Source organism: Homo sapiens, chromosome 16, assembly GCF_000001405.40.
Source record: "Homo sapiens chromosome 16, GRCh38.p14 Primary Assembly".
Lineage (NCBI taxonomy): Eukaryota > Metazoa > Chordata > Mammalia > Primates > Hominidae > Homo > Homo sapiens.
Window position 1 is genome coordinate 13,750,140 of NC_000016.10, and position 8,224 is coordinate 13,758,363.

The 8,224-nt window shown below is 42.0% G+C and overlaps 1 annotated feature.

The window, feature by feature from the left end:
• Positions 6,769-7,968: an enhancer, noted in NCBI's record as "BRD4-independent group 4 enhancer chr16:13850765-13851964 (GRCh37/hg19 assembly coordinates)". NCBI's record gives its function as "activates an origin of replication core promoter dependent on BRD2, P300/CBP, MED14 and CDK7 cofactors, and independent of BRD4, by STARR-seq in HCT116 cells {active_cell/tissue: HCT116}" and the evidence as "EXISTENCE:reporter gene assay evidence [ECO:0000049][PMID:35650434]".

Consider the following 8,224-nt stretch of genomic DNA (forward strand, 5'->3'; position numbering starts at 1 on the left):
TTTTTGGACTCTACAAAGCAAATTTCACAGACTCCCTTACGAGTTGACTTCTTATTAAGTTCTGCTAATAGGAGATAACAGTAGGAACAGATGTGGGAGTTTCTGCTTTCCCACTCTTACCAATATGTTCCAACAGCAGCATTTGGCTTCAATCTCCAGCTTCCTTGAACACTTACAACACCAACACTCCCGCCCTTCCTTTGAGCTTTTAGGTCCCGGTAACCCCCGTCTTCCTCTTTATCCCCTTTTCTGGGGGTGAAACCATATCTGTAACCTACAGATGAATGAAAAAATCTCCACCCGTGGTTTGGCTCTTTTATTTGTCTTTACCCCTCTGTGATGATGATGCTATTGTCTTATAGTCGTTAATTATATTAACTGTTAATTTATATTGTTTTTGATTATAAAATAACCATAAAGAATTTTTTCAACATTTATTTACATGACATTATATATTTTTTGTCAAATGTGATAACTCCTCGAAAAAAATGTTTGCAAGACTTCGTTTGTATAATTGCATACCTTGAAGACTTCAACAACCACTGCATTATTCACCAATACACATTTTATCCTAAGAAGCTTGCCTCTTGGTTTTCTCACTACTTGGCAGAGTGATTTTTAAGAGTACCAAAATTATTTTAAGTGGTTTGGATACTAGCTTTTTAATAAAACTGAGAGACACCTTGAAAGCTTATGCAATTACACAGCTACCTACTGCAGGAAGATGTTGGTTAGAGTTTTCAAACTCAAGACTAAATTGTTATGTTTCTTCTAGGGGATTAGAAAGACATTAAGATAAGGTACAGTCTAGAAAGGGTGAATTAATTCCTTGCTCGATGTCAAGGAAGGTCTCATGGAGTTGGTTTGTTGAGCTGTTTCTTTGTAAGCCTAAACACTTTCAGCAACAATGGCAAGGTCAGTCTAGGAACATTTTTAACACCTCTGATAAGTTACTATAATAAAAATGGTGCTCAGGAGGTGGAGAAAAAGGGTTTGTCATGGAGATTGGGCATCGTCTGTGACTCTTTCTTCATTTATACGTGATAAAAATTACAGCCTTAGAAATGTTTAAAATCATCATCTACTTTCTTCACTGCAAAAGTCCTGTGAGGAGTATTTCCTGGGGCAGGCCTGTGGGTCAGTGCTGGGGGAAGTGTCATCCAAGCAATGTGCTTCTCTGTTAATGGGTACATTTGGCAAAATCACCACCAGAGCCAGACTGTGCTGCTCCACTCCTCTGGCAGCATTCATGAGCTTCTCGTCTCTATGGCTCACCTGACACACCTCATCAGTCAGTGAACAAACCATTCTATTTCCATCCACACAACCACACTGGTTGGGGCTCTGAACATCAAGACAGAGAAGAGAGAGGGCCTGCATACTAAAGATCTCTACAATCTCATCTCTGTTCAAATCAGCTAATTAAATAAGACAGTCTGGTCTTTGAGATTCATAAAGCTTATCCTAAAACCCTTTGGTATCTTCACACTGTACTTCAAACAAAATCCAGATTTCTGACCACGGCCAGGGAGGCCCTGAAGATCTGACCCTAAGGGAGTCTCATCATGCTCTCTATGTGTCAGCCACACTGGCCTCTTCATTCCTCAAATGCAGTAAATATACACCCTCGAATACTATGCAGCCATAAAAAAAGAATGAGATCATGTGCTTTGCAGCAACATGCATTGAACAGGTGAGCTATTTCCCAACAAGGAGACTTGCCATGTTTTCTTTCCTCTGTTTGGAAACCTCTTCCCTAGTTCTTTCCATGCTGGCTCCTCATCCATTGAGCCCCAAAATATCCATGTTCCTAGGACGTATCCCCTGAACACCCCATCAAAATTGACCCCATGATGCATCCTATCATAGCAATTATGTAATTTTCCAGAAAACTAATCACAGTTAGGAAATTAATATCCATCTTCCCTGATAAATGGCAAGTGTCATGAGAGTAAGAACCATGATGGCCTAGCCTAGAAGTTAGCAAACTTTTTTTCTGTGAAGGATCAGATAATAAATATTTTAGGCTTTGCAGGCTATACAATCTCTATCACAACTACTCAACTCTCCCGTCGGGGTGGAAAAACAATCAGAGACAATTCACAATTAAATGAAGGTGGCTGTATTCCAATAAAACTTTATTTACAAGATCATGCAATGGCCAAATTTGGCCCACTGGCCATAGTTTTCTGACTCCTGGTCTAGTTCACTGTTATAAACTTGGAGTTGTCAAGCATAACACCTATCACATAGTAAGCATGACAAATATTTATTGGAAGGAGGAATAAATGCATGCATAACCCTACAATCAGTTTAGGCTAATGTTTAGATGAGCTTGGGCTTCAGAGTTGAAATTTTTCTCCATATTGTACTCAAAGTTCTTCCTCTAGTCAATTTTATTCCTTTATCTTCTTCAGCATTTCCCAACCTGCCTTTCATTTACTGTTTGATAAGTTGTTCTCCCTCCTTGAGCTTCCCTAAATTGAATCTCAGAACTATTATTTTGCTCTTGAATCATCTGTCTACGATTCATCTCTCATTGACTTAGCCTGAACATGAACATTTTCACTGTTATTACTTCTACTTCATTGTATTCAGCAGTTATCTGCATAACATTTTTTCCAGTAAAAAGAACAAAAATAAAGAAGGATTCTGAATTCTGTATATAAAAATTGCTACGTCCTTTTTGGATGGCAATTTACCAGCATCTATTAAAATTGCAGATATGCCTCCCCTTCAGTGTGGCCATTCTTAGGACCTTCCCTCACTTGGGGCTATCTCGTGACTCTAGAAATTGACATAGTGTCAAGATAGGAGGTAGACCTTCTCCTCCTGTGATTGGCCAACTATCCACGCAGACAAACAATGATATCCCCAGTGTCCTTGACTCTAGATTAACTTCAGTTTTCGGCCACCTCCAAGTGAGGCTTTCACAGAGCCATTTTGTAAGAATGGCTGTAGTACTCTGTGGTAGAGCTCCAGACATGGCCCTCGGTTGTTCCTATCTCCTGTTATTCATGCCCTTGGGTAATCCCCTCCCCCGAGTGTGGACTGGACTTAGTAAGTTGCTCTTAATGAATAAAAAATGGCAAAAGTGATGGAATATCCAGCCATAAAAGAAACGAAATTCCATCCACCATGAATACTAGGTAGCCATAAAAAAGAATGAGATCATGTCCTTTGCAGGAACATGGATGGAGCTGGAGGCCATTATCCTTAGCACACTAGCACAGAAACAGAAAGCCAAATACTGCACGTTCTCACTTATAAGTGGGAGCTAAATGATGAGAACACATGGACACATAGAGGGGAAGAACACACACTGGGGCCTTTCAGAGGGAGGAGCGAAAGGAGAGGATCGGGAAAAAATAACCAATGGGTACTGGGCTTAATACCTGGGTGACGAAATAATCTGTACAACAAACCCCCATGACAAAAGTTTACCTAAGTAACAAACCTGCACTTGTATTCCTGAACTTAAAATAAAAAATTTTAATAAAAAGAATGAAGTTCTGTCATTTACAGCAACATAGATGGAACTGGAGGTCATTATGTTAAATGAAATAAGCCGGGCACAAAAAGACAAACATCACGTTCTCACTCATATGTGAGAGCTTTAAATAGTGAATCTCATGGAGGTAGAGAATAGAATGATAGACACCAGAGACTGGGAAGGGTGTGTGGTAGGGGTGGGGAAAGAGGTTGGTCATGGGTACAAACAAGCAGTTAGATTGAAGGAATAAGTTACAATGTTTGATAGCAGAGTAGAGTTACCACAATTGATGACAATGTGGGTACCTTTCAAAATAGCTAGAAGAAAGAACTTGAAATGTTCCCAACACATAGAAATGATAAATGCTTGAGGCAAGGACTATCCTAAATGCCCTGACTTAATCATCACACCATCTATGAATATAAAAAATATCCCATGTTCCCCATAAACATGCACAAATATTTACATCAATTTTTAAAAAGTGATGGAATGTCACTTCCAAGATTAGGTTACAAGACTGTGACTTTCATGTTACTAGCCCCTCTGTCTGGCTCCTCCATGTACTCTGATAAAGCCAGCTGCCATCTTGTGAGCTTCTCTAGGAAGAGAATCAGCTAGCAAAGAATGGAGGGTGGCTTCCTGACCCACAGAAACGATGATAAATGTTTTGCTGTTTTGTTGCTGTTGTTGTTTTTAGCCAATCCTTTATTTTGCATGGTATTGCTCTTCTTTAAAAATATTTTCCAAGCTATTTATTTGTATTCTGCTTCTGCACCAAACCAATAAACCCCTGATCATTCATTTATTCCTTCATTTATTTAAATAAATGTGTACTGGACCCATTAAGTACGAAGCACAGTAGCCATTGCATCTCACTCAATTTGGGTATATTTCCTCTAGTGTTCTTTTCCTCTGATCTGAGACCTCTTTTGATACATGTTATGCTAAATATTTGCTGCTTCTAAGCCAGTATGTTTGGGATATTTGTTATGCAGCAATACGCAACTAATACACTCTCTCTGCTAAGATACCAACCAGACATATTTCTCTATGGTCTTGATGTCACTCAGTTGCATTGCAAGAAAACAGAACTGTCTTTCCTTCCCACCAACACCCAAAGGATCCTCTAGTGTGCAAGGATAGAGATAGTGTCTTCACATAGCAAAGACACATTCTCTACAGCTGTAAATCTCCTCCCTGCCTTTTACCTCCTGAACAACACTTCTAAATTCTACTGAGGGTTAGGCTTTTTTTTTTTTTTTTTTGAGACAGGTTCTTGCTCTGTCACTCAGGCTGGAGAGCAGTGGCATGATCACAGCTCACCACAGCCACACATCCCAAACTGAAGTGATCCTCCCACCTCAGCCCCTCAAGTAGCTGGGACTACAGGTGCACACCACCACACCCAGCTATTTCTTTTTAACTTTTTGTAAAAACAGGGTCTCACTATGTTGCCCAGGCTAGACTTGAACTCCTGGCCTCAAGCAATCCTCCCATCTCGGCCTCCTAAATTGCTGGGATTTCTGGTGTGAGCCACTGCACCTGGCCTAGACGTTTTTCAAAACAAAAGCCAGGAAGACTTGCTGGTGAGTTCTGTTTCATGCCCTGCCACATCCATCCCTTGGGGCAGTGGAGTGCCAGCCTGATCATCTACTCTAATTAGGTAGGGATGATTTCATATTTAATGCTATCCAAAGGTGGTGATGCTCTTTGTCCTAGGTTTCCATTGTTATTGCAACCTACTTTTCAAATAATAAATAACGCACCCACCATCATCTCAGTTGCATTCCTCACTCTTGAGGTAAGTATTTCATAAACTTATAAAAATATTATTGGGAGTGGGATGGGGAGTAGAATACTGGGCCTGTAAGATTCTTCTCAGAAAGGTTTTTGTGCTCAAATAAGTTTTTAAAATACTGTATCTTATACTGTCCCTCTTGGAGATTCAAGAGGGACACATGAGCAGATTTGAGACTTTTACAAGTCCTCCCATTTTTTAAAGTGTGTTTGTTTAACCTAAAATTCATTGAAACACAGAGCCCTTTCTTTTCTACCTATTAACCTCCTGTGAAAAGCACTTTTCGAAAACGAAACAGTACCTGCATTACCAGACTTGCTGTTCTGTTTCACCGTTCCATGCCTTTTTCTGTAGTATTTCCTGGGCCTGAAATGTCTTTCCCCTCACATTGAACTCCTGGTTGCAAGTTAAAAGCTTCTCCATGACCTCAACAACACCCTGATGGAGTGAAGCACAGCCCTCCTCCAAGCCATCTCTAGGACATGGGTATGATTCCATGGTTGCATTCCTCATACTTTACTAAAACACATATTAACATGCCTGCCTCACTTCAAAGCCTCTAAGTTCTGTGTGGAGCTGGACTGCGTCTTGTTCCTTCCGCATCCCAGCCTCTAGCACGGTCTTGCCACACTGCTGTGAACTTTACTCAGCCTATCTCATTTGCTGCCCAGAGTCCTGCTATGATCTTCTCCGTTCTGTGGGAGAAAACTGAAGTCAGTAAATGATGGAGCTAAGAGCATTAACAATGTATCAATATCCAACAGTTTATCAGTATCCAAGATTTGCATAACCTATCCACCAAGCTATTTCCTTCTGTTACGTGAATACACCGTGAGGGTTTGGGATAGATTTGAAAAACTATGACTTAAAACCCAAGGTGAGACCCGTGGAGGAAAAGCACCCCAAGGCTTTGATGTGAAAATAGAGCACTTTCTCCTTTGGGACTGTAAGTTTGGAAATACAGCATGACTTCTGAGAGTTTACAGCTGCTTTGTAGACTTTTCCACCTTGGAACTAATCCCAAACAGAAAGGGAACCAGCATGATCCATTCTGAATGCACCCTTGTGTGCATCCCAGAGCGCAGATGGTCACGGACCACAAAGCAAATCCCTCTAATGTTATGTGACTCAGGGCTGGAGGATTTGTCCGCCAGCCTCAGCCCCCCATTGTCCATCTTCCTTTCCCTTGTCAAAGCCATTTGACAGCCGTAGCAACCGAGACATTTCCTTTCTCTTTGGATTTGTCTCTTTCATGCTTCTCACCCCCCACCGTGCCCCCATTGGCTGTCCGTTCCGTTCGGCTCATCAGTCTTGCTCTAAAATTGGTTTTATTTCTTGTATTTGTCTTATCTGAGGTTCTCATTACTTGAATCTCTCTCACTTGCACTTAAGAGTTTATCATCATTCCCATTGTGCTGCTTTTACTGCTGTCATCTGTCTCACTCCACGTCTGCTGCTTCCCTACTCCCGGCTTCCCTCCCTCCTCAAGTTTACCCTTCATGGCTGTCTTGTTCCTAATACGTGTCATAGACTTTGGATCATTTTCACAAGGCACAGGCTTTCTTCCTGTTTTATTTGAGATTTTTGTCCTCCGTCAACAATTCACTTCATTCTTTTCCTTCTCTCTATTTTCCCAAGGATCTCATTCCCAGTATTTATGGAGATGGGTTTGCTGAATGTCTTTTCCGCTACCTTTGCCTCTGTGGTTTTCCCTGCATTGCAACGTGCCTTATTAGGAAGGATAATCATGCCCATTAAACTTCAGGAACATCTGTCTCAGAGAGAAGACTGTGTTTCTTGTTCGTCTCCTAAAACCGTATAGGGTTTCTGCCAAGGACTAGGGACCAGCATCCTGGAAAACATCCTCCTCAGCCGAAGTGGGGTCACCTGCCGTCATCTCAGAGAGCAGAAAATGAGCTTCCAAGACAGAAAGGAAAAACACCTGCTGTTGTTCAAATGTGCTCCCCAAAGTTTACATGTTGACAACAGTGTTGAGAGGTGGGATCTTTAAGAGGTGGTTAAGTCATGAGGGCTCTACCTTAATGATGGATTAATGCCGTTATGGTTCCTCATCATGGAAGTGAGTTGTTTTTTTTTTTCTTGACAGAGTTTCACTCTTGTCGCCCACGCTGGAGTGCAACAGCATGATCTCGGCTCACTGCAACCTCTACCTCCTGGGTTCAAGCAAGTCTCCTGCCTCAGCCTCCTGAGTAGCTGGAATTACAGGTGCCAGCCACCACACCTGGCTAATCTTTTTGTATTTTTAGTAGAGATGGGGTTTCACCATGTTGGCCAGGCTGGTCTCGAACTCTTGACCTCTTTATCTACCTGCCTTGGCCTCTCAAAGTGCTGGGATTACAGGTGTGAGCCACTGCACCTGGCCGGAAGTGGGTTCTTGATAAAAGGATGAATTATAAGTTTGCACCCCCTTCTCTGTCTCTCTCTCTTTCTCTCTCCTCTCTCTCTCTCTTCTCTCTCTCTCTCTCTCTCTCTCTCTCTCTCACTTGCTTGTCCTTCTACTTTCACCATGGGATGACACAGCAAGAAGACCCTTGCCAGATATAGTCTCGACCTTCGACTCCCCAGCCTCCAGAACTGTAAGAAATAGATCTCTGTTCCTTATAAATTACCCAGCCTGTTATAGCAACACAAAGAAACTAAGACAGCACCCAAGACCTCCTTTGCTAAGAGCCCTCAGAATGTCTCCAATCCTTCGAACTGGCCAGGTTCCTTCAGAGCTTACTGCACGAGGCCTATGGCTGATGAAGACAGGAAGAATGCAGGCCAAGAACCTCCAGGAACTAGCAGGAGCTGGGAGGAGGAGGGACACTTTCCTTTCCACACCTAAGAGCAAAGCTCTGCACCTGGACCACCAAAATGAGTCGGGGCAGAAATTAACGCTCTTTCTTCTCCCTGAGGAGCCCATCACCGAT